This window comes from Homo sapiens, chromosome 11, assembly GCF_000001405.40.
Source record: "Homo sapiens chromosome 11, GRCh38.p14 Primary Assembly".
Classification (NCBI taxonomy): Eukaryota; Metazoa; Chordata; class Mammalia; order Primates; family Hominidae; genus Homo; species Homo sapiens.
This window is the reverse complement of record NC_000011.10, coordinates 129,928,158-129,954,269: the sequence shown is the minus strand read 5'-3', so window position 1 is coordinate 129,954,269 and position 26,112 is coordinate 129,928,158. Positions and strand designations below refer to the sequence as shown.

General features: G+C 42.8%; 1 protein-coding gene across 17 annotated transcripts in view, besides 1 other annotated feature; it reads left to right on the top strand.

The window, feature by feature from the left end:
* PRDM10 (PR/SET domain 10) overlaps positions 1 to 26,112 on the top strand; it is a 103,125-nt gene that overhangs the window by 48,566 nt on the left and 28,447 nt on the right. For 7 of the 17 annotated variants that reach the window (NM_001367891.1, NM_001367894.1, NM_001367890.1 and 4 more), the window contains 7 exons: positions 6,900 to 7,125; positions 9,258 to 9,499; positions 11,641 to 11,844; positions 16,600 to 16,672; positions 19,052 to 19,169; positions 22,039 to 22,168; positions 23,012 to 23,254. In NM_001367891.1, the coding sequence (NP_001354820.1) occupies positions 6,900 to 7,125; positions 9,258 to 9,499; positions 11,641 to 11,844; positions 16,600 to 16,672; positions 19,052 to 19,169; positions 22,039 to 22,168; positions 23,012 to 23,254 (1,236 nt within the window). Of the gene's footprint in view, positions 1 to 2,623; positions 2,706 to 6,685; positions 7,126 to 9,257; positions 9,500 to 11,640; positions 11,845 to 16,599; positions 16,673 to 19,051; positions 19,170 to 22,038; positions 22,169 to 23,011; positions 23,255 to 24,848; positions 24,861 to 26,112 lie in introns of those variants that run through there. The other 10 variants (XM_047427311.1, NM_001367893.1, NM_020228.3 and 7 more) reach the window with 6 other exon arrangements.
* Positions 17,171 to 17,884: an enhancer, noted in NCBI's record as "H3K27ac-H3K4me1 hESC enhancer chr11:129806281-129806994 (GRCh37/hg19 assembly coordinates)". NCBI's record gives its function as "activates a minimal SCP1, AML or CMV promoter by ChIP-STARR-seq in primed H9 embryonic stem cells {active_cell/tissue: H9 hESC(primed)}" and the evidence as "EXISTENCE:reporter gene assay evidence [ECO:0000049][PMID:30033119]".

Below are 26,112 nucleotides of genomic sequence, written 5' to 3'. Positions count from 1 at the left end.
AAATAAATAAATTAAATTAAAATTTAAAAGAAGAAGCACTTTCTGCTTTTTTATTTCTTGGTAGAAGATTTGTATGCTTCTATTTTAAAATTTAGAAAATGAACCCTAGTTATATTCATATCATCTGAAATATAGAGAAGTTTGTTAGGAGCCTTTTTTGTATAAGTTGGGGTTAAATTCATTCATGACTGGCAGTGAACGGCAATGTAATGGGGTCTTTGAACTTAAATGAGAATTGTTATTTATTTTAATAATTTTTTATAATACTTAGGTATATTCTTGACCCAAACCAACCTCATTTCTGTAAATACTTATTGATTCCATCAAGCAAGCAATGGATTATATATATATAATATATATATTTTTATATATTAGGATATACTATTATATACTTCATTTATTATTTTACATGTAGATTATTTCCTTTTTTTTTTTTTTTTTTTGCTACTATAAAGAATGCTGTCATGGACATCATATCAGATTATTTCCTTAGGATAAATACCCCAAAGACAAATGGTAGAGACAGAAGATATTTGTATTTTAAGTTAAGAACCAAATTTTTTGTAAAAGTGGAAAAACATACAAATATAAAAACCAAACCAATGAAATAAAAACCCAGAATTCTAAATTTGAATTGGAATATGAATATGGACTTATAATATGTTTTCTCTTAAAAAACATGTTTTCTGGCCAGGCACCTGTAATCCCAACACTTTGGGAGGCTGAGGCAGGCAGATCACTTGAGGCCAGGAGTTCGAGACCAGCCTGGCCAACATGGTGAAACCCTGTCTCTACTAAAAATACAAAAATTAGCTGGGCGTGGTGGCGCATGCCTGTAATCCCAGCTACTCGGGAGGCTGAGGCAGGAGAATCGCTTGAACCAGGGAGTTGGAGGTTGCAGTGAGCCGAGATCACACCACTGCACTCCAGCCTGGCAACACAGCAAGACTCCGTGTAAAAACAAAACAAAACACAAAACACACAGAAATGACGGCTGGGTGCAGTGGATCATGCCTGTTATCCCAGCACTTTGGGAAGCCAAGGTGGGCGGATCACCTGAGATCAGGAGTTTGATACCAGCCTGGCCAACATAGTGAAACTCCATCTCAACTAAAAATACAAAAATTAGTTGGGCATGGTGGTGGGCACCTGTAATCCTAGCTGAGTACTCAGGAGGCTGAGGCAGGAGAATCGCTTGAACCTGGGAGGCGGAGGTTGCAGTGAGCTGAGATCGTGCCATTGCACTCCAGCTTGGGCGATAAGAGTGAGACTCTGTCTCAAAAAAAAAAAAGACTAATTTTAATATTTTAGGTATAAGATATGCAATCTAAAAGTCATTTCATTGTACTCAACTATTTACAGATGAAAATGTATAATGTCTTGGTTTTGCTTCTCCCAATGAGGGAGGAAGTAGGTAGGAGATTAGTTGAAATAAGATTGGCCATGAATTGGCCAGGCACGGCGAATCACATCTATAATCCCAGCACTTTGGGATCCCCGAGACAGGAGGACCACTTGAGCCCAGGAGTTAAAGACCAGCCTAGGCAACATAGTGAAGACCCCTGTATGTACAAAAACTAAAAAAATTAGCCAGGCATGGTGGCACGTGTCTGTAATCTCAGCTACTCGGGAGGCTGAGGTGGGAAGATCACTTGAGCCTGGGAGGTTGAGGCTGCCATGAGCTGATTAAGCCACTCTGCACTCCAGACAGACATTTTGTCTCTTAAAAGAAAAGATGTTGATTGGCCATGAATTGATAATTGTTGAGCTGAGTTATGGATACATGAGGAATAAACCTCATGTATAATAAAATACTATTCTATTTGATATTTGTGTGAAATTATTTTGATAATTGATTTTCTAAATTGCTTTTCAGACACTGAAAATATTTGTATTCCCACCAACAGTATAGTATACAAGGGTGCCCCATTTCCACACACTCTTGCCACACTGAGTATTTGCATTCTTTTCAAATTTTGCCAATCCGATAGGCAAATTTTTGTTGTTTTAATATTAAGGGATAGTTTTAATTAAAGGCTTCGTTGCCATTTGCACTTCAAAGGGCCCTTCATCTTTTCCAATCTCCAGAAACAATCTGCTTGTTTCATGTTTTGCTCAAAAGGAAAGTTGTACTCAGCTCCACAAACCCTGACATTACAAGACAGTGTAACTATTGGCTTAGCATCTTTCTTCATTGTAGTTTCCTTTCCACCAGCACAGTTTTTATTTCTGGTTATAACACCTCAGTGGTTGTCAGTTTATCTGGTGACCTGGATAAATTCTGGATAGAAAGTTAGATTGAGGGTTGAACACAGAGGATGGTTTTTTTTTTTGGTTTTTGTTTTTTTCTTAGCCAAAAGGTTCCCATTATATTTTCAGTTGTTTTTAGTGGGGGCAGAATGTGCTTGAATCCTTTTTCATGTATGCATTCCCCCGTCCTTAAGAAAGGCATCAGTGGTCTCCAGGCATAGTCTCCTCTTTGTTTTTGAAAATGAACATGTGTGACTCCCCACACACTGAGAGGAAAATATGCTGCCCTGATAATTGGTCTCAGTAGGAATCAAGAAGCATTCTGTTGTGTGTGCTGCTGTCCAGCGTGGTCGTTTCATGTTTCACTTCTCAGATAAATTGTATCCTGAAATGCATTATGTCCTTTCAGAAATAATTACAGAGAGTGGTATTAAGTGGGAAGGAGAAAGTATACCGTAAGTTTATAGATTCTTTTTGCTTTTACTGTATTTTATTGTACATGACAAAATGCACAGGATTAAAATGGTTTTGCTTCAGACTCCTTTCCTCTAAGTGAAACAGACAGACACTGCTTGCCAACCTACCGCCTGGCTATGACCTCAGGGACATGTGTGGTTGGTTACCTTGTTGCCCAGGTATTCAAAGCGTGGGTGACGTTTACCGCTTCTGCTGCCCTCCTTGAATAGACTGAATTCCATAGGGCCATCGTGATGTAGTGGAAAAGGCAGTGCAGAGTCAGAATTTAGACTTCATCTCTGCCACTTAGGAGCGTTGTAACATCACCTGGCCTCAGAGGGATTCAAATACCTGCCTAGCACTCAGTAAACACCAGCTGAATTTGAATTTGTGGTTCATTAAATTTGTAATGCATGCCTGTTGTGTGTTAAGGTTTGTGTTGTCTAGAAGTGTACAGTTCTTATCTAGAAATGATGGTCAGCAGCTCTTTCCGTTCCTTTTCCACAGCAGTTTGCATGTTTCTGGTAAATATCCAAACTCCGCTTTTAGAGCCAGCCTCTAAAGATGCTGCTGGAGTGTTTAAGCATTTCCTTTTGCCACAGTCTGTTAGGAAAGAGGTCCAGCATGGGGAAGTGAAGGCCGGTTTTATCTTGATGTCAGCTTTCTCAGCAGTGGCAAGAAGCCAGTCACGTTGCCAAACCGGTGTCTTTCTGACAGCATCTGTTGGGAAAAAAATACATCGCGGTTTTACTAGAATAACTGAATTGCTGAATTCATTCTTTCAGGTTGGCTCTGCAGAGCGAGTTTATGAGGAGTAGAGGTGTACATATGCTTTGGTTTGTTCAGTATGTGATAACATTTATCACTAACCCTGGCATAATGCTTAAGCGCTTAGGACAAGGGGCAGTATTGTAAGCTGTGCTCTGAGATGGGGAGCAGGAATACAGTCACTTCCTTGCAGGTTCTGGTGAGGAGGTTGAGGGGGAGGTGGCCACAGCAGCTGCACTGCTAGAAGTTCCCTGTGGAGTCCTCACCCTCACAGGGCATTTTATGCTGTTTTTATTGAAGCTGAGGCAGAAGCGTCTTCCAGAATTTGGCTTCCCCCGTAAAACTTTCTAAAAGACCCTGAATTGCAGAAGTGGAATGTCAGGCAAAAGTCAAATGAGCATGTGTTAAGTGTGCGGATGCAGTTTGAGATAACCGGTTTGATCTGCTTTCTGGAGACAGAGTGTTTCAAATGTTGGGTAACGCTCTTACACAGCCGTTGCAGGTCAGGCCCTCAATAAACACACTCAGTACCGTTTCTTTAGAGTTCTTTTTTTATTATTATTTGAGACAGGGCCTTGCTGTGTCACCCAGGCTGGAGTGACACCATCACAGCTCACTGCAGCCTCAACCTCCTGGGCTCAAATGATTCTCCCATGTCAGTCTCCTGAGTAGCTGGGACCACAGGCACGTGCCACCACTGCCCAGCTAAATTTTGTATTTTTTGTAGAGACAGGGTTTCACCATGTTGCTCAGGCTGGTCTCGAAATCCTGGGCTCAAGCAATCCTCCTGCCTCAACCTCGGAGAGTGCTGGGATTACAGGCATGAGCCATCACGCCTGGCCTCTTTTTTTGGGGGGTGGGGGGGTGGAGTTTCGCTCTTGTCACCCAGGCTGGAGTGCAATGGCGTGATCTCAGCTCACTGCAACCTCCGCCTCCTGGGTTCAAGTGATTCTTCTGCCTCAGGCTCCCGAGTAGCTGGGATTACAGGCACCCGCTACCATGCCCAGCTACTTTTTTTTGTATTTTTAGTAGAGACAGGGTTTCACCATGTTGGCCAGGCTGGTCTCAAACTCCTGACCTCAGGTGATCTGCGCACCTTGGCCTCCCAAAGTGCTGGGATTACAGGCATGAGCCACCATGCCCAGCCACACCCAGCCTCTTTTTAGAGTTTGATAAGTTCTTCGATTAAGATGCACAGCAGAAAAAGGATGTTTCTGTGAGTACTGCAAAGACTTCCTCTAGATGCCTGAAGGGATTGGTGTTATTTCCCAAAAGGCCAAATATATTTCAACAAATTAATCTTCATTGAACACCTACTTTATGCTCAGCGATCTTTTAAATTTGAGGAGGAAGTATATGATATCATCATGGTCCTTAAAGAACTTAGGATAATAATGATTAATACTAAGCAGTTACTAAATGCTATACACTCTGCTACTGGCCTTATATACATATTGTTTCACTTAATACAACAACCTGAGGCATGTATTACTGTGTCCATTTTACAGACAAAGAAACTGAGGTTCAGAGAAGTGTAGTAACTTGCTAAGGGGTGGGGCAAGGATTTTACTCTAAATGCCTGACTCCAAAGCCCATAGTCTATTTCCCTGAGGTGCAGTTGGAGAGGCAAGATGGACTCATGTGAAAACGCATACTCATCACCAAAATAGATGGTGTTTGGCAATGGATGCAAAGCTGTGGGGATAGTTAATGTGTGAGATGTCTGGATCTGAAGTCTAAAGATCTTGGCAGATGGGAAGAACAGATAAAAGCAGTGAAATGAAATTTACTGGAGATAAATGCAAAATCCCCCATTTAAGTAAAAATCAGCTCTTGAAGTCCTGATGAGGGGAAAAATGGTTTAATAGCACTCTATGAGGGGAAAAGAGGACTTAGATATTTTAGTTATCTGCAAGTTCAGGATGGGTCTGCAGTAGAGCAACGTGGCCAACGTAAACACTAATGCACCCTGATGTTGTATTAATAAAAATATGGAATCCACTGCGAAATAAATGAAGACAACAAGATGATTAGGGAGCTGGGAGTTTGGTCATGTGAGAAATGACTGAATGAATTAGGGTTTTTTGGCCTTCAGATATTTGATTCTTGTGGCGGAAGGGTTACACTTATTCTAGCTACCTCCAGAGGAAAGTCCTGGGCCCTAACCAAAGCGTGGAAGATCTGGGCTCCACAGAAATTGTCATAGAACTATTTCAGAATGATTCAGGCTGCCTGGTGAGGTCATGAAATGTGGAAGCAGATGCTGAGTGCTGTTGTGGAGTGGGATTCTATGGCTCCAAGGGCTGCAGGAGTTCAGAGCAGAGGAGACTCAGGGAGGGCTGGAGGCATCAAAGGCGGTTCACTGGGAAACTGGAATGTGGTAGGATTTAGAAGGTGGCTGAGGAAAGAGTATTTTAGGTGAGGAAAACAACATATGAGAAGATAAAGGGAGTGGCATTTTTAAAAACTTGCTTTATTTATTGAATAGGACATGGCTTGAGTATGACCTTGTGCTAATTGGGCAGGAGGAGCAAGATTGCATAAAGGGATTCTAGGCCAGTGTATAATCCCATAACACTTAGATTGGAGGCAGGAGAACTTTTTAAGGTACCATTTTTATTTTCTGCCAGGATATTTGATAAGATAGCATTAACCTAATACATGACCCAAACTGTGTCTTATTTGCAGGAGACTGACTTCAGCATGATGAAACAAACAGGCACCTCATCTCTTTCATTCTTACTTAAAAACCTCAGCCTGCCTGAGCTGTTTAAAAGGAGAGCTGTGAGCTATGGAACTTTGTTAACCATGTGTTGCACGACGTGTTTAGTTTTAAAAGACAAGTGGTTGAGGATAGGTCAACTCATTTACCCCCTCCAGTGTGGTATGGCTACTCTGGAAAGGCAAGAGGGACCCCCACCCCAGGTTTAGTTCAGATGTGGAAACTGATGATACCTCACATGTGCACACATCGAAACGGTCTGTTGCTTACCTATTTGAAGTCTTGGGAGACAGGGCAGGCCTCTCAAGCAGTGTGAAACGGCTGAATGAGCCAGGAAGAGACCAGGTTTTATTAAGTTTTAGGGGTGGGGTCAGGACGCAGGTGGTCAGGGCCTTGCCAGTGTTGACTCTCCCACTGCTGCCAAAGGAGGGAGCACCTGAGCCTTCTTAGCAGCCCTCCCAGGTGTGGGACAGAAGGGGCAGAGGGAGGGCAGAGGCTTAAAGGCTGTGAGCAGTCAGATCAAAAATGAAGCCAGCTCTTCCTCACAGCCGGTAGATGGAAGTCATTTTTCCAGGGCCTGGAAGGAGTTGGTAGGAAGACTAGATTTCAGCCAGCCCTTGCGCCCTGTTTGTGCCAGCAGGCACCAGCGAACCAAAAGCAGGTGTCCATGTCTGCTTACTCTGTGCCTTCAACTTTTGCCCAGGCCTCATTGCCAGTTCATAACCAGGTGCTGCCTTCCATCGAGAGTGTAGATGGGTCCGACCCTTTGGCAACTCTGCAGACCCCTCTAGGCAGACTGGAGGCCAAAGAGGAAGAGGATGAGGATGAGGACGAGGACACTGAGGAAGATGAGGAAGAAGACGGTGAGGACACGGATCTGGATGACTGGGAGCCAGACCCGCCCCGGCCCTTCGACCCACACGACTTGTGTAAGTGTGGGCACGGGTCTCCCCCAGGGAAGCTGTGTCCATCTTGTGTGTCTGTGTACGTGTGCGTGTGTGTGAACATAGCTCCCGTGCGTCAGGTCCTTCCGTGTGCAGCCAACTGTGCTACATTCTCTGCTTGCTTCATCCCACCTGGCCTTCACTGCAGCCCTTTGAGGGACACTCTCCTTCGTTTTCTGATTTACTGATGAGTAAACAAGCTCAGAAGATTGGGAAGCTCGCTGGGGGTCACACAGGGACGAAGGGGCATCAGGCAGCCAAGCCCAGGTCTCTCACACCAGAGCTTCAGCTACCAAACCACCATGGTAGATTTGCCCGATCCTGCGCTCTTCAGCCACTTCAGCTTTAACAAGTTTGCCTTGCTGCTTTGCCTCTTCCATGATAGCCTTTTAAGAATGCTGTTCTATCCCAGGCGTGAGTGCCCTGAGTCTACTACCTCCTTTATGCCCTCCATGGCCCTACCATGAGGTGGGTAGCTTTCCCAGGGCTGTGCCAATAATTTGAGGGTCAGGACTCCAGTTCAGGCAGTCTGGCCCCTCGGCAGCGCCCTTGATCAGCCACCCCACCCTACTGCTTGCTGGGGGTTCACATTCCACCACCAAGAAACCATCAGTTTCTTTCTGTGGATTTTCTTGCTTATGTGGCAAAGTGCTTACTCATTGATTTGCATTACTGAGGCTCTTCAGAGCTTTGTGGTTTCATCCTGTTTCTCCTGGTCCTTCTGTGTGGTGGTGGTAAAATCTGTCTGCTTGGGCCCAGTGTTCAAGCTCCACATCTAATCCCAGTTCAACAGAGAACTTGCTCGTTTTGGTTTTCCTTGAATTCATACGTTTTCTTTTCTTTTCTTTTTGTTTGTTTTTGTTTTTTTTTCTTTAATTTTGAGACAGGGTCTTGGTCTGTCTCCCAAGCTGGAGTGCAGTGGTTCAAGCTCGGTTCACTGCAGCCCTCTGCCTCCCAGGTTCAAGCAATTCTCAAGCCTCAGCCTCCGGAGTAGAGTAGTTGGGACTACAGATGTGCACCACCACGCCCAGCTAATTTTTTTTTTTTGTATTTTTAGTAGAGATGGAGTTTCACCATGTTGGCGAGACTGGTCTCGAACTCCTGACCTCAAGTGATCCGCCCACCTCAGCCTCCCAAAGTGCTGGGATTACAGGCTGAGCCACTGCACCTGGGAAAAATTCTTACATTTTTGAGGCAACTCCTAAGTCAAATGCACAGAAAATCACTTTATCTTTAAAATATTAATACAAAGTAGCTCTGTTATTTGAGAATTGTAGAAATTAAAAATAACTATTTCCTAAACCAGGTCACCATGCAGCTGGAGTAAGGTAAAGCATGTTAAGTGTGTTAAGGGTTGTGGGCATGGCCTGTGTGGTCCATTTGCTCTCCTCCGTTTTGGGGCTGTACCTGTCTCGTTCTGGCGGTTAGCTTACAGGTGGGTGCTCCTGGCAAAGAGGCAGGGCGTGTGGCCGGACTGGTGCAAACCGAGTGCTCTTGGAATGGGCGGAAAATGTTGTGTCATCCCAGTGAATGAAGGAAGGGATTCTAAATTTGTTCATTTTAGCATTATCTAATCAGACAGTATGCACTGAACTCTCAGACCGCACAACCCTTTTTCCGTTTGAGTTAGGCTGAGATATAAGACTTCTGTAACTCCCTTTGAGAAAATTGATTCAATAGTATTGTCAGGGTTCCTCCCCGGCCCCGGAATAGTTTTATTGAGATAATGGGCATACTATAAAATTCACCTATTTTGTCTCATCAGATAGTGCAACATTTAGCCTGATACGCTCTTTTTACTCTTCAGACATGTTGTAATTGATTTGTAAATTTAGTGGCCACTATTCAAAGGACTCTCCAGCAAAGAAGTCAGTCATGGCCTGCTAGTTGTTTTTGGCAGGCATAAGCAAATTCTGTCTGATTTTAGAGGAGAATTACAGGATTTTTACTGGTCTCCCAGAGAGAATGTATTACCGTTGAATGGGTAGCGCCATTAGGAGTTCATTGAATTTTGGCTTGAAAATGCAGACGGGGATTTTTCGGGTCAGAATTTTTTACCTCACATCAAGTCACACTGAGGAATTGGACTTTTCTTCAAGACTGTCTCTCTTTTGCAGGGTGTGAGGAGTGCAATAACGCGCATGCTTCAGTGTGTCCGAAGCACGGCCCCTTGCACCCGATCCCCAACCGGCCGGTGCTCACCCGGGCCAGGGCGAGCCTCCCCCTGGTGCTCTACATAGACAGGTTTCTGGGCGGGGTGTTCTCCAAGCGGCGCATCCCCAAGCGCACCCAGTTTGGCCCCGTGGAGGGGCCTCTCGTCAGGGGCTCGGAGCTGAAAGACTGTTACATTCACCTCAAGGTAATTTATGCTCTATCACACTTCACTCCTGTCCTTTACCAGTGTTTGAAGGAGCACTGCGTTGTCTACTCAGTCTCTTATTCCTGTTTCTTAGCAGTTGTTTGCTAGTATTCTTCTTTCTATCTTAACTTGGTTAAATGGAAACTCACTAATAAGATGGAGATTGCAATTTTTTTTTTTTTTTTTGAGACGGAGTCTTGCTCTGTCGCCCAGGCTGGAGTGCAGTGGCGCGATCTCGGCTCACTGCAAGCTCCGCCTTCCGGGTTCACGCCATTCTCCTGCCTCAGCCTCCCGAGTAGCTGGGACTACAGGCGCCCGCCACCACGCCCGGCTAATTTCTTTTTGTATTTTTAGTAGAGACGGGGTTTCACCGTGGTCTCGATCTCCTGACCTCGTGATCTGCCCGCCTTGGCCTCCCAAAGTGCTGGGATTACAGGCGTGAGCCACCGCGCCCGGCCGAGATTGCAATTTTAGTGCCTGAAGGCGTTATATGAATTATTCTGGGGGGCTACGGTAGTTTTCTAGGGTTGCCGTAGTAAAATACCACAGACTGGGAGGCTCAAACAACAGACATTTAGTTTCTCACTGTTCCGGAAGCTGGAAGTTTGAGATCATGGCGTTGGCAGGGTTGGTTTCCTCTGAGGCCTCTCTCCTTGGCTTGCAGAAAGCCACCTTCTCACTGTCCTCACAGGGTCTTTCCTCGGTGCTTGCATGTGTCCACGTCCTAATCGCCCCTTCTTATTTATTTATAATGTTTGTATTTTATTTTATTTATTTTTTGAGATGGAGCCTCGCTCTGTTGCCAGGCTGAAGTGCAGTGGTGCAATCTCAGCTCACTGCACCCCCTGCCTCCAGGTTCAAGCGATTCTCCTGCCTCAGCCTCCCGAGTAGCTGGGACTACAGGTGCCTGCCATCACGCCCAGCTAATTTTTGTGTTTTTAGTAGAGAGGAGGTTTCACCATGTTAGCCAGGATGGTCTTGATCTCTTGACCTCGTGATCCACCCACCTCAGCCTTCCAAAGTGCTGGGATTACAGGCATGAGCCACCGCATCTGGCTAATTTTTGTATTTTTTATGGATACAGGGTCTTGCCATGTTGCCCAGGTTGATCTTGAACTCCTGAGCTCAAGTGATCTTCCTGCCTTGGGCTCTCAAAGTGCTAGGATTACAGGCATGAGCCACCTCTCCTGGCCCATCTTCCCTTCTTATAAGGACCAGTCCTGTTGGATTAGGGCCCACCCTAATGACCTCATTTTAACTTAATTACCCCTTTAAAAGTCCTGTCTCCAAATGCAGTCACAGTCTGAGGTACTGGGTGTTAGAACTTCAACATGGATTTTGAGAAAGACACAGTTCAGCCTATAACAGGGGCTTGCTTTCTTTATTTAAAATAATTTTGACTGGAATGCAAAGAGAATTATGTAGGCTTAATGTAATCTGCTGTGTGCCAGTAATGTTTGCAAGAAAACCACTTTGTAGTTTTGAAACAGGTCTGACCTGTAGACTCTGGTTAAAGAATAGCTCCCTGTATGGTGAAGTATGTTTATAGTCATCTCTTTACAGCTGACCCTTTTGTTTCTGCCCAGCCCTCTCTACTACTTGCTTTGTGGATAACCACTCCAGAGAACTAGGAAAGGGCAGTGGGAAGGGGTGAATATTTGGGATGTGTTTTTTGACAAGTCATCTGCTGTCATGGGGAGATTTTCTTTGTGTTCTCAAAATCTCCTAGCAAGAATATTACTTTGTAAAGAGAAATGCCTATCCCTGGGCTGCCTATTATAAATGAATGCAATGAAACCCCAAAAGGAGGCAAATTGTAATGAGCTAGAGAGTATTTTGCTTGCATTTTCTGGCATATTTATAGCATTTTTATCATGTTTTGTGAAATATTAACTAAAGCTATGCAATTAGATGAACTTTTAGATTTTGCCAGCTAATTTTCCTACAGTTGAGGCTTCAGAAAGTATCTTTTCCCTTTGACATTTGGCAAGTCATAGGTCTAGGATTTTTGCAGATACAAAGGAAAGAGCCAGGATGTATAGTTAATTTTAGAAGCAATATTTTGCGTATTGTGACATTATAAAATGTGTCTCATATTGAAGGTTTTGTTTTGTTTTTGGTGTGGCTTTTTTTTCGTGCAGGTTTCTCTTGATAAAGGGGACAGGAAAGAAAGGGATTTACATGAAGACCTATGGTTTGAGTTGTCTGATGAGACGCTTTGTAACTGGATGATGTTTGTACGGCCAGCCCAGAATCACCTGGAGCAGAACCTGGTGGCTTACCAGTATGGCCACCATGTGTATTATACAACCATAAAAAATGTGGAGCCCAAGCAGGAACTGAAGGTACAGTGCTGCCTGACCCGTGCTGCTATTTGCTAGCAAGAGTGATTGTTTAGGGCTTTTTGCAATTTTATTTTCCTAAAGTGGGTTTGTTTAACAAAAAAGGGGGAGGGGGGTCATTTTCTGGTTATTCACATACTTATTGAGTAGCTACCATGTAGTACACACTGTCATAATCCTGTAAATAGAATGAAAAGTATATGGCTTTTATGCTAATCAAAGGGCCTATGTGAAGCCGGGCATGGTGGCTCACACTTGTAATCCCAGCACTTCAGGAGGCTGAGACAGTTGGATCACTTCAGGTCTGGAGTTCAAGACCAGCCTGGTCAACATGGCAAAACCCCATTTCTACTAAAAATACAAAAATTAGCCGAGCATGGTGGCGGGTGCCTGTAATCCCAGCTACTTGTGAAGCTGAGGCAGGAGAATCGCTTGAACCAGGAGATTGCGCAGAGCCAACGTGAAAGCATGAGGTCCAGGGGTAAGGAGGTGGTAGTTTTGGGGAGTAGACCAGTACAGATGCTCCTCTACCTATGATGGAGTTAGATCCCAATAAGCCCCAGTGTAACTGAAAATATTGTAAACTGAAAATGTACTTAATACACTCAACCTACGAATATCATACCTCAGCCTGGCCTGCCTTAAATGTGATCAGAACACTTGCATTAACCTACAGTTGGGCAAAATTATCTAACACCGTGCCTATTTTATAAGAAAGTATTGACTATCTCATGTCATGTATTGAATACTGTACTGAAAGTGAAAAGCAGAATGGCTGTATGGGCACTCAGACGATTTCTACTTGAACGCATCTCACTCTCACACCATCGTCATGTCAAAAACTTGTAAGTCAAACCATTGACAGGAACGCGTGTATATCTGTGACGGAGTGATTAAAGATGTCGGTTAACTTCATTTACACACTCCATAGTTGGGAAACAGATGTTTAGATGTATGGGCAAGATTTTTTTCTTTGTATGAATGTTTTACTCAAAGGATCCTATGTGCCGACTTCTGATTTCATAAATATATTTTGGGGTAATAACTATTGAAATTTATCTAAATAATAATTCTTGATGACATAATAAAATTTTGCTATGATTCTAAATGAAAATTCCTTTTTTAAAATAAAGCTTATATTAAGAACATGCCAAAAGAGGGGATCAAAATACTCTTTAGCTTCCTGATATAAATGAAAAATAGGCAAGAAATGATCATATAAGTACACAAACACTGAATTGCACAGTGCCTCCATATGGTACAAATTAGAAATGGATACCTCTTTTGAGGGAGAAAGAATCCTGGATTTTGTTCAAAAGGTATGCAGAACCTCTGTTTTTGAAACCATCAGCTAGAGAATCCATAAACCCCAAAGAAAACATGTAAAAGGAGATTCCTATCTCATACCATGTATGCCAATAAATTCCTGATTAGAAAAAAAACTGAGGTGAATATTTTTTAACTGTGAAGGGCAGATTTTCTCTTTTAAACCAGTAGATAGAACTATAAAGTTGGAGAGAAACAAATAAGAATATAACAGTTCAGTCTAATGAACAACCATAAAACAAAAAGGAAACAACAGAAAGGGGGAAATATTTGTAATACACATTAAAAGGTTCAACTTTCAAAACTGACAGACCTCACTGCACCCAGATGGACAAATGAACAAATGTCAGGAATTGACTTTATCTGGAGGAGGAAACAAATAGTAAAAAAAAGTTTTAAAACAGAAAATAGCAAATGCATTCTGGGCTTAATACCTACATGATGTGTTGATAGGTCCAGCAAATCACCATGGCACATGTTTACCTATGTAACAAATCTGCACATCCTGCACATATACCCTGGAACTTTAAAAAGTTAAAAAAATTTTTCAACATTAATAATTTTTAAAACCGTCAAAATAACTATGAGCTACTATTTATATTTAAATTAGCAAAAATAAATGGATACAGTACAATGAATGTGAATGTTGAAAAAATAGGAATGTCAATTGTAGAATTGCATTTCATAAAACATTTCTGGAAGTATATAGCAAAAATATTCTTGGCTGAGTAAATCTAATCATTGAATGTTAATCAGAGGAAATAGTTATAAAAAGAAGACAGTACTAGACTCTACTGTATTTCACTGACCCTGATACCAATGATTTTAGGATGCACTATTATTTTATGCACCATTAAGAAAAAAAGCTACCTATTACAGTGCTTTTTAAAAATAAAAAATGGTTAGAAGGAGCTATTTTAGACTTATTTTGACATAATTTTAAAATTACATCATACTTGTGCATTCATAAAAAGACACACTGAAGCAAAATAAATTGGTTGAGGTATAAACCACTTTGTGTGCAGAGCCTGAATTCTTTTTCCTGCATCACTGTTTGACTTCATTGTGGATGTTTGTGCCTTTCTGTGTGCTGTCATCTTCTGTGCCATTGAGAATGTGAAGCAGCTGCAATATTTTAAAAATAAGTGTTCTGCTGTTGCCCCTGGGATGTTCCCTCAAGCCACTGATCACCTTCCTGCAAGTTTTGATACTGTGCTTTCCCATTTGATTGAACTCATCTGTGTCTTTTTCCTCAATTGACTCACGTATCCTTGAAGTGGAGAGGCTTTGGATCAAGCCTGTAGGAAGTTTCTGACAGCTGATGCCTTACTGAGAAGCCCTGCAGGATGCACGCCAGCCTTGCATGGCTTTCAGATTTCTTGTGTTTGTTCTGAAGGAAATGGCAGATCTTTTTGGCCTTCATTTGCATTGCTTGGCACGTGTTCACTCATGGGGTGTCAGTGGGCTTACAGCTGAATGAGGTGAGAACAGTACAAAGAGCTTGACCAGGTTTGTGCAGGAGCAGTGAGCAGGTAGCAAGAGCTCCATCGTGGCCATGACTGTAGAAGGCCCTAGAGTGTGAAACACATCCTGACTTCTGACCTGTGAAAATATTTAAAAATACACCTTGGAATTGATCAGGGTAGGATTTATAATAGTAAAATGATAATCCATCTAAAAGTGCAACTACAGGGGCGTAGTTAATTAAATTATAGAATACAGACTATGTAGACTATTATTCCACAGTAAAAAATAAAATGTCTTTATAAATATTTCCATATATTTAAAATAATCCGTAAAAATCATATATGATTAATTCATTTGGTAATTGATATATTGAACTCTTACTGTGTTTGAGACCCTAGAAAACATAGACCAGCTCCCTATGTTCAGGGAACCTGTATTCTAGAGCAGACATGGACAGAAAGATGTAAACAAGCAAATAATAACTCATGGGGTAAGTTCCATGAAGGAAACAGATGGTGCAGGAAGAGCAGGTAACAAGAAAGGGACCGATTTTGATGTGATGGTTGGGGAAGGCCCTGCTGACGAGGCTCTACTGAGGCTGAGAACTATGGAATGGGGCCAGCACTACAGAGGGTTAGGGCAGGGGTGAGGGCAAAGAGCCCAGCACTTGTGGGGGTGAAACAGCAGGGCTGAAGACTTGGGATGGTGAAGCACTTGGCATGTTTGAGCAGTTGAAAGCAGGCCCTGTTGACTGAAGCGTGGGTCAGGGAGACTGACAAGGGCTGAGTTTGCTTTTCCAGGTTGGGGAGATTGTGGAGCCCTTTGGAGATTATCACAAACATTTCAGGTTTACTATGAGACGAGAAGCCGTTGCCTGCATGACAAGATCTGATTGTGTGTTCTTTTTATTGATACATGTTAGTTGTACATATTTTTGGGATACACGTGATATTTTGATGCCTGTATATGATGTGTAATGATCCAACTGGGGTAACTGGGATTTGAGGAGACCACTCTGGCTACTGTGTAAATTGCAGAGAAAAGGAGAGGCCAGTCAGAAGGCCAAGTGGCCATCCAGGCAAGAAATGGTCTTGGCATGCATCAGGGTGGCAAAAGCGGGGATGGAGAACAATCGAGGGAGCGGTAGTCCTTGCTAAAGGCATATAGAAGCAAGCGGAGGAATCAAAGGCACCTTTCAGGTTTCAAGTCTGAGCAACTGGGTGGAAGGTATTCATCAAGATGGGGAAGATGGGTGGAGGTGTGAGTTGGAAAGCATTGAGAATTCCATTCTGGACATGCTGAGTTTGATCTGTTTGTGAGACATCTAAAACATCCAGTCAAACACACTCAGAGGGAACAGAGAGAGTCTGGGATGGAGATATTAATTTGGGATTCATTAGCATAGAGTTGGTTGGAAATGAATGTGGCCACCTGAGGTCAAAATAAGAAGTCCCTACACTCTGACTAAGCTTTGAGCCACACCAATATTTAGAAGTTAGGGAGAAAAAAAAAAGAGGCCAACAGAGTGAGCAGAAGTAGCCAGTGGGTGGGCGGGAGAAGGTGGTTGCCTTGGAAGGTGTCATTGGTGACCCCAGTAAGGGCTGTTTGGTGGCAACCACTATGACTACAACCCTGTAAAAACCAGTGTTTAAATATAGATAAGAAATCAGGGGAGGCTGTTTTATTTAGTTGAAGAGACTATGATTATAATTCTTGTGAAGTTATTCTAGTAACAGAAACCATTTTCTGAAAAAGAAAACAGGCAGTGCGTCTTGGCAAATGAACTTCCTGACTGATCTGCTGGAAAGGTATTGCAAGGGGAGCTCACAGCATGATCTTTTTTTCCATTGTTAATGGGCTGTGGAAAAGCCTGAATTGTTTCCTGTAAGCAGGAGAAATAATTTAAGCATGCAAAGAACATCTGGTGATGTCCCCAGTTCTTGATGATATACTTGCTTCTTGCAGGTGTGGTATGCCGCATCCTATGCTGAGTTCGTGAACCAGAAAATTCATGACATTTCTGAGGAAGAAAGGAAAGGTGGTTAGACGTTTATGTTTTACATTTTCTATATGAATTCTAAATTGTATATATCACATCTTTATGAAACCTCTAATTTTTTTTTTGTCTCAGTATATTTCAGAAGTTATTCCAGTAGGTTTTTTAGAGACACACATCTCCATCTAATTCAGTGTCAAACTACAATGACATTTACATTTCTTTCATGTGTGCTGGAAAATAATATTTAATATAATGAAGACTTCCAAATACCAAATTAGAACCTAGATCAGAGGACGATTCCTATCCAGATTTTATCATCTCTGAGGATATACCAAGGCAGGCATTGGCTTTGTTTTTAATGCAAATGTCACTGAAGTATAATCTACATACAGAAAGCTGCACACATCATAAGTATATGGCTTAAATTTTCACAAAGTGAACACACCCATGTAACCTGCACCCAGATCAAGAAACAGCGTTACTGTGCCCTAGAAGTTTCTTTGTGCTGCCTTCTAATTCCTACTCACTCCCAAGCGTAACTCTCTCCTGACTTCTAGTACCACACATAAGATATGCTTGTTAACAAATTGTGCATAATAGAATTATATGATATGTACACTTTTTGTGCCTGGGCATCTTTTGCTCAACATGGTATTTGTGAGATTCATCCACATTTGTGTATACAATTTATTTATTCTCATTTGGTATTCTAGTGTATGAATGTAAAACAGTTGATGTATCCATTTTACTGTAGATTTGGTTGTGAAATGCAATTCTGACACTAACTATCCAGAGTTAGGTCAAGTTTCACAGGCTCAGGGTGGTCAAGACACCCCTGACTTCAGACACCAGCTGGAGGCTCTGGAGCTCCCAAGCCCCAGACCAACTAGCTACAGGTTAGGAGGTTCCCAGTAGCTCCTCAGGTTTGATAATTCACAAGAATGACTCACAGAACTCGGAAAAGCACTATTCTTTTTTTTTTTTGAAATGGAGTCTTGCTCTGTCACCGAGGCTGGAGTGCAGTGGCGTGATCTCGGCTCACTGCAAGCTCCACCTCCCGGGCTCACGCCATTCTCCTGCCTCAGCCTCCCGAGTAGCTGGGACTACAGGCGCCCTCCACCATGCCTGGCTAATTTTTTGTATTTTTGGTAGAGACAGGGTTTCACTGTGTTAGCCAGGATGGTCTCGATCTCCTGACTTCATGATCTGCCTGCCTCGGCCTCCCAAAGTGCTGGGATTATAGGCGTGAGCCACTGCACCCGGCCGAAAAAGGACTATTCTTAACGGTGGCCATTTTGTTATAATCTTTTATATTTATTATAATATATAGATCTATATAGCTAATATATAAAAATGTATGATTTTTATATATTAGGGCCAGCCAAATGAAGAGATGCATATGGTGAGGTCTGGGAGGCCCCAAAATGTCCTCAGGACATACCACCCTCCTGGTACATTGATGTATGATTCCCAACCATAGAAGCTCACCCGAGCTTCAGTGTCCAGCATTTTTATTGAGACATCATTACGTAGGCATGACTGATTCAATGATTGGCCGGGTGATCAAGCTTGACTGCCAGCTCCCCCTTCTCTCCCTCCTTCCATGAGGTCAGGCTGATAACCCCTGGCTCAAAGCCCCACATTTCTAATTACAAGGTTGAGCTTTCCTGCATGGCCTGTCCCTGCTCTGAAGCATCTCATTAGAATAAATTTGGGTATGTTTGTGAGGTGGGACACCGTGAATAACAAAGACACTCCTGTTACTCAGGAAATTCCAGTGACTTAAAGGTTACCAACTAGGGACAAAGACCAGGAAGATTCCTTATTACATGATGAGATTGTTTCTAGTTTTTGGCTATTTTGAAGAGTGCTGCTGTGAGCATTCTTATATGTCTTTTAGTGAACATATGTGCACATTTCTGTTGGGTATGTATGTAGGAGTGGAGTTGCTGGGTCATGGATATGCCTATATTCAACTTAGGGGATGCTTCTGAACATTTTGCTAAACTAATTATACTGGGCATTGACTTTTAAGTTATTTGTGCTAAAATATACCCTCAGATTAGGAAACCTGGGTCTGAATCGCTAGGTTATCTGAACACAGATCTTTGTAACATCTTATGTGTTTTCGGTGTGGTGAAGTTGTGTGTGTGTTTTGAGGACTGTGAGAGGGTGATGTGAGGGTACTTGTTCCTTTGATGTCTTGTATGGATGCATTAGAAAATAAGATCCTAAAAAGCAACTCTCTGCCAAATTTTAGCTTTTGATTTGATAGAACAGTAATGCAAATAGCAGATACTATATAGTTATGAACTCTTTGGGCTGCAGCAAGATAAGAATGGTGGGGATCGCAGACTTTTGAGTTTTACTGGTGTCTATTGGTCATCAGCCTTTATGATTTCTCTCCTGTGACTGTAGTTCTTCGAGAGCAAGAGAAGAATTGGCCCTGCTATGAATGTAACCGCCGATTTATAAGCTCGGAGCAGTTGCAACAGCATCTCAATTCTCATGATGAGAAACTAGATGTGTTTAGCAGGTATGTATGAGGGAGAAATGCTCACAGACTGAGTTCATAAAGGTTCAGAATCATTTCTATATTGTCCACTAGCTAATGAGTGTCTCCGAGTGTCATGTATAGATAGGTAACCAGGTGGGCTACTGAGGGAACGGTGTTACCTGTCATCTCCTTTTCCCTCTGCTCCTCATTTACTATTATCCATCTTTTCCAGCATAACCAATACCCAGCAATGGGAGATGCTTTCACCTTAGGTAAATCTCCCTTAATTGGAGATTCCGAAATAGGAATTTTTGAGATAGGACATACCTTTAAAATAATCTGCATCTCTGATTTTCAGACTTTTTTCAGCAGTACAATTACTTAATCAAACCAAGTCATATGTTTAATTCCACTATATAAAAAAGACAGATGAGGGGAGAATCATATGGGATGAAGTGGGCAGGGGCCAGATCAGGTAGGGCCTTATGGGAAATGGTAAGAAATTTAGATTTTATTCCAAGTGTGATGAGAAGTCTTTAGAGGGTTTTGGTCGGGGAGTATTGTGATGTTGATTGTATTTTTTTTTTGAAAACCATTTTGGATAAAAATAACACCTGGAAAAAAATAATCACTAGCTTATATTAGAGTAAGAGTGAAGACAAGGAGTCCTGTTAGCATCTATCACAATAGTTTGGGGGAGGAATGAGGGTGGTTTGGAGTAGGCTCATGCCAGGGGGACAGATGTAGGGTTGCCAGCTTTTCTAGGGTTTGGAAAGAGAGGAGATGTGTGAGATGGTAGTTGGGTAAGTGGGAAAGCGAATGTTCTAGGGAAGTACCATACAATTGCCCACTCTATTAAATGCCCACTTGGGGTTCATGGTTATGAAATGAAAGTGAGCCCACTAGCATGGCTGTGCGTTTTCTCCAGCTTCATTCAGCTGCAGGGATGCTGGTGCAGAGCAGGCAGGGAATTGAATTACACAGGGTTGTGGCTTTGCCAAGTGCTCATAACACACATTGAGAAAACAGAGCAGCCATGGGATGGGAACTGAGAGCACGCACGAGGGAGTGGTTCCAGTGGATGACCTTGGAGCGTATGCTGTGGAAGAAGGGGAGAGAACATCAAGGCAGTGATGCAGAGCTGCACGAAAGCACCGGAAGGATTGAACTGGAGATGCTCGCGTGGCTGAAGGGTTGCTGAGTGCTGGGTACTAGAGGGAGTAAACTACAGAGCCAGGGTAGTGTCCGAGTGGGCAGTGCATGGGATTGGCATGAAGAGGCTTACAAGGGTGACAGGGTCTAGAATGTGACCACAGGGGTAAATGTCTAAGGAGGGGGTGGACACAGTGAGATTTGAGTCACTCCTGGGAATCTCCAAAACTCTGTTCATGGCTCTATTGTAGCATTTTTTATATTATATTGTGATTTTTGGTTTATATGCCAGCTCCCTTTTCTAGACCCCTGAGGGTAAAATCTGTTGCCTGTAATCTGATGTCCTTAGTGCCTAGCCCAGTATGTGATACACAGTAGGTAATATGTTTGTTAGCCAACTGTTAAGAGAAACCTGGGACAACTAGGAAGATTTGAACTTTGACTAGATATAATAATACTCAGCAACTCTCAGATATTTCTCAGGTGTGATAATGGTATTGTGGTCATATATATATAAAGAGTTCTTATGATTCAGAGAGACATGCCAAGATATCTAGAGATGAAAAGATATCTGGGATTTGCTTCCAAGTCATCTACTGGGTATGTGTGTGGGCAAGTGGTGGGGATATAGATGGAAAATGTTGGCCATGGTTTGAAAAATGTTGGAATTGGGTTATGGGTACATTGGGCTCATCGTGCTAGTCTCTACATTCACCTAGGTTCAGAATTTTCCAACATGAAGAGTCTTTTAAAAGTTCCTGGAAAAAATATATAGTATTTGTTAAATTATTAAATGGATGAGTGGAAGAATAAAATTTGATCTGATTGACATTGTACACTTCCCACATACATATCTTCTAAAAGAAGCTTTCATAACCTACTTTTTTAAGCCTCTTTTATTAAGGAATTTGTGTTTGTTGGCAATTCATGCCAGGCATGGTGGCTCATGCCTGTAATCCCCGCACTTTGGGAGGCCCAAGAGGGAGGATTGCTTGAGTTCCAGACCAGCCCAGGCAACACGGTGAAACCCCATCTCTACAAAAAATTAAATAAAATTAGCTGGGCGTGGTGCCACATGCCTGTAGTCCCAGCTACTTGGGACGCTGAGGTGGGAGGATCGCTTGAGCCCAGGTGGTTGAGGCCACAGTGAGCCATGATTACATCACTGCACTCCAGCCTGGGTAGCAGAGCAAGACCTAGCCTCAAAAAGAGAAAAAAAAAAAGTCCATTAAAGGGGATGCAAAAGTTAATTGATGTTTACTAGGCATGTTATGAAACAATTGAATTAGAAATTTGTTCTGACCTTCCAGAAGCTTGTAGTAAAACAAGAAAGTTGTTTGAATTTGGCCACATTTCTTGGAAGGAATATGAGGCGAGGCCAGGGGAAAAAGAGAGAAATAATGGGAATCTTGTCTCAGATGACATCTCCTGGGAACACGCTCAAAGGCTTAGCATGTTCTGTCCTGTCTGCCTTTCTCACATCATTTCAGAAGCAAAATATTGTCAGTGCTTTGAATTTTTATAGCTCTTTTCTTCAGAATAATTGAAGACATATCTTTAAGCTGTAATAGAGGGGAAGGATGAGACATTCAGAAAGTGTATATTAGTAAAACAGTTGTTTCTATTGGAGAAAATCTGGGAAAGTAATAAGGTGAGAGGAATCAAACTCTGGGGTTAGTAAGGATCATTTAGGTCGCTACTTGTTATGGAGTATTATGTAACCATGACGACCTGTAACCCAATCTCTTGTCCCCAGAACAAGAGGCAGAGGAAGGGGACGAGGCAAGAGGCGATTCGGTCCAGGTCGACGGCCGGGGCGTCCTCCAAAATTTATCCGCCTGGAAATCACCAGCGAAAATGGGGAAAAGAGTGACGATGGGACACAGGTACGGGGGGACGGGAAGGAGCCCTCCTTAGGTGCTTGTGTGGAGGACTCGCCAGATCCCTGACGAGACCTAAGTACAAAGACCTTCCCAATGTTTGTAGACCTTTCCTATCAGACCTTGCTGCCTGTTAATTAAAGAATGATTGGATAATGCCAGAAAAGAATGTATTTTCAAGTGTTACCTACAACAAAAACCCAACTTTGCTGCTCTAAAGATTTAAAATTGACCGGACTTGGCCAGGCGCAGTGGCTCATGCCTGTAATCCCAGCGCTTTGGGAGGCCGAGGTGGGCGGATCACGAGGTCAGGAGATCGAGACCATCCTGGCTAACACGGTGAAACCCCGTCTCTACTAAAAATACAAAAAAAATTAGCTGGGTGCAGTGGCGGGCGCCTGCAATCCCAGCTACTCGGGAGGCGGAGGCAGGAGAATGGCGTGAACCGGGAGGCGGAGCTTGCAGTGAGTCGAGATCGCGCCACTGCACTCCAGCCTGGGGACAGAGCGAGACTCCGTCTCAAAAAAAAAATAAAATAAAATAAAATAAAAATAAATAAATAAATAAAATTGACCAGAGTTAGTAGAGGTGGACTTTGTTTAATTAGTTTAAACAATTAAAATTATTGATATTCCAGAAAAGTCAGATCACAGTCTTTTCCTTGTTAAGTGGTGTGGAACCTCTCCTGCTTTTGCCTTCTGTGCATAGTTACCTAATTAACTTTCCCAGAGGGAGAATATTTTTTCTGAGTATTATGAATCTAGTCATTCTGAAATAAGCAGCAATTCTAAATCTGAGCTGACAGTCCCTCCGGCACTGATCTCTATTCCTGGTTATTGCAAATTTCAGGACTTGCTACATTTTCCCACAAAGGAGCAATTTGATGAGGCTGAACCAGCCACTCTGAATGGGCTGGATCAACCAGAACAGACCACTATCCCAATCCCTCAGCTGCCACAGGAAACCCAGTCTTCCCTGGAACATGAACCAGAAACTCACACCCTGCACCTGCAGCCGCAGCATGAAGAGAGCGTGGTGCCCACCCAGAGCACGCTGACAGCCGACGACATGCGCAGAGCCAAGCGCATCCGAGTAAGTGGGGAAAGCCGGCGGCTCCTGGCACCAGCCGCTCATCTTCCTCCCACCACCAGCTCTCTGGTGGTTTTCTAACCTATTCACCTTCCTCTCTGAAATCTTGCATCTAGCCTGTCACATGCTCGATCCCCTTATTTTGAAAGAAAGTGTTCACTATTTCTCAATGTCTCTGTGTCCCATGGCAGGCTGGCATGGCTGGTCCTAGATTTGACCAATTTAGTGACGACACAGAGGCCTAGAGGTTGGCAGCTCCTGGACTAGCTCTCTGCATCCCTCAATTCACAGATTGGAAGTGGAGAAATAAGTACATTTAGTTATAATAATCATTTATATTTTAAACCAGGCTAATTTGTGCCTAATCATAGCTCTCAAGTTGATTTTGGGTAACTAAATGTGCTTATCTACAGCTTCCCAGGGGAGAATGGCAAATGTCATTACTCATCAATGTAAAGTGACCTGTGTCCAAGTTGATATGGCAGGTACAGTTCACACACCTGCGGATAGCTTGAGCCAAAGCTGTCAGTTCGAGAGTTAGTCAGTGTCTGAGTCACGGGACCTGTGTCTTGGCCTCAGACCATGCGGCTGCAGGGCTTTCCTGACTTGCAGTTCAGATGCGTTTTCTCTTATTATTTCACAAATAGCATTTGACTCTGAGTTAGGAACTGCAGGGGATTCGTGTGGAAAACAATATGGCTTTGTGGGATAAGTGTCTGTGCTGATAAAAACCAATGACTTACAACCCATGTTTATGGCAGCTGAGTGCATAAAGACATATTGGTACTTTCCAGTAGATGAAAGAGACATTTTGTATAACTTCCCAGGCTTTACAATTTCTACATGCATGATCGTTCAGCGTATGTTTCTTTTGGTCTTCTTATTTGCCTCTAGGCTAGAAGGGACCTTGAAAAATAGTCTAGTCCATGCCTTCATGTAAAAACACATTTAAACATTTGTAGTCATATGATAGCTTTGAAGGGCTCTAAGAACTGAGGCTAAACAGCCTTTATGAGAGCCCTGTAATCGAAACATATGAAACTCTCAGCTCACTGTATATTATTTCACAAGAGTATATCAACATACAGAAATACAGGCCAGCAAGGAAAACAAGCTATGAAGTAATATCCCATCCATCCTTCTCCTTTAGTTCCTAATCTGCACTTCTTTCTCTTGCTCAATTACTATATTTTCTGCTTTGGCCATTCTGATTTTTTTTACTAAGTCCAGAGAAACCCTTGCTAGATTTTTTTTTTTTTTTTGGAAGGAAAAAAAAAAACCGAAGCCCACACATGCAGTGAAGTTGTGGATGCACAAACACAGTCCAGCCGTAATTGTACTTGCATTTTTGAATGAGCAGGGTTACTGGTTTTGGTGCAAGGTTCCTTGTGTCAAAGCGAAAGCCATATGTATCTGGCTTTTGGAGGTCAGTCTTAGTTGAGCTATTTTGTTTTTTTTTCTCTCACACATTCTAAAAAGTAGGGCTATGTATTTTTTCATCTTTTCTATCCAGATTGGTAATGACCAACTGAAGGGAAGTCTTCCAATCCAATTGGTAATGTAACTATTTTTCTCTCCTCTAATGCTGCCTGCTCAGTTGGAGCTGCAGGTAGGTTTGTTTCCTGTGTTTCACATAACAGAATGTTACTTGTTTGCCTGACCTGCTGTTCTTTGCAACCTGTACTTACTAAATCCTGGTGGAAACCACAGTTTGGTTGCTACAGTAAATGCAAATTAATGAATAATGATAATTTATTTGTAAATAGATCAAGGAATAAATTGTGGGCTGCAGGTTCCTCATATACAAAATGAAGGGTAGGACTAAGTGATCTCCAAGGTCCCTTCCAGCGCTAAAACCATTGGAATGACTTATGCAATAGTGTTGAGTTCTAACTGTCTATTTGGCACTATGCTAGGTACACAATAGAATTTTCACTTGAGCTTGCAGTCTAAGTAGGAAATCAATACTAATGTAGGGGAGTTTACAGTTAGGTGTTAAATGTAAAAGTATAACTTGGAAGAGTGAAAGGTTGAAGTAAAATAGAGGAGTCAGGATAATTCTTGGATAAGGTGAGACTTAGACTAGCCCTTGAAAGAGAGGAGGAAGGTAGACTGTTTCAGAGAATGATAGCCATAGGATCAGAGGCCCAGACACAGGAGGTTCTTGCTGTGGTTGGGACAGTGCAGACATGAGCCTGGCCCTAGCAGGGGTGCAGTGGAAGGATGGTGCAGAGTGAGCCGAGTTGGGCAGGGCTGGCCAACCAAAGGCTTTCAAAGTGGGCAGAAAATTGTCCAAAGGAAAGTTGTTTAAAAGACCCCAAAACTGCCAGGCATAGTGTCTCACACCTATAATCTCGGCACTTTGGGAGGCTGAGGCAGGTGGATTGCTTGAGCCCAGGAGTTCGAGACCAACCTGGGCAACGTGGTGAAACCCTGTCTCTACTAAAAAAAAATACAAAAAAATAGGTGGACATGGTGGCAGGCACCTGTAGTCTCAGCTACTCAGGAGGCTGAGATGAGAGAATCCTCTGAGTCTGGGAAGTCGAGGCTGCAGTGAGCTGTGATTGTGCCACTGCACTCCAGCCTGGGCAATGGAGTGAGACCATGTCTCAAAAAACCCCCCCAAAACCCCAAATCAACAAACATGATTGTTTGATTTCTTTTTTGTGTCAGGATTAAAATAATATGAAAATTGATCAATAATTTAGGTTCTTTTAGCCATTAATATCAAACTTTAGAAACATTTTAGTCAGGCGTGGTGGCATGTACTTATAAGTCCCAGCTACCCTGGAGGCTGAGGTGGGAGGATTGCTTGAGTCCAGGAGGTCGAGGCTGCAGTTAGCTATGATCATGCCATAACA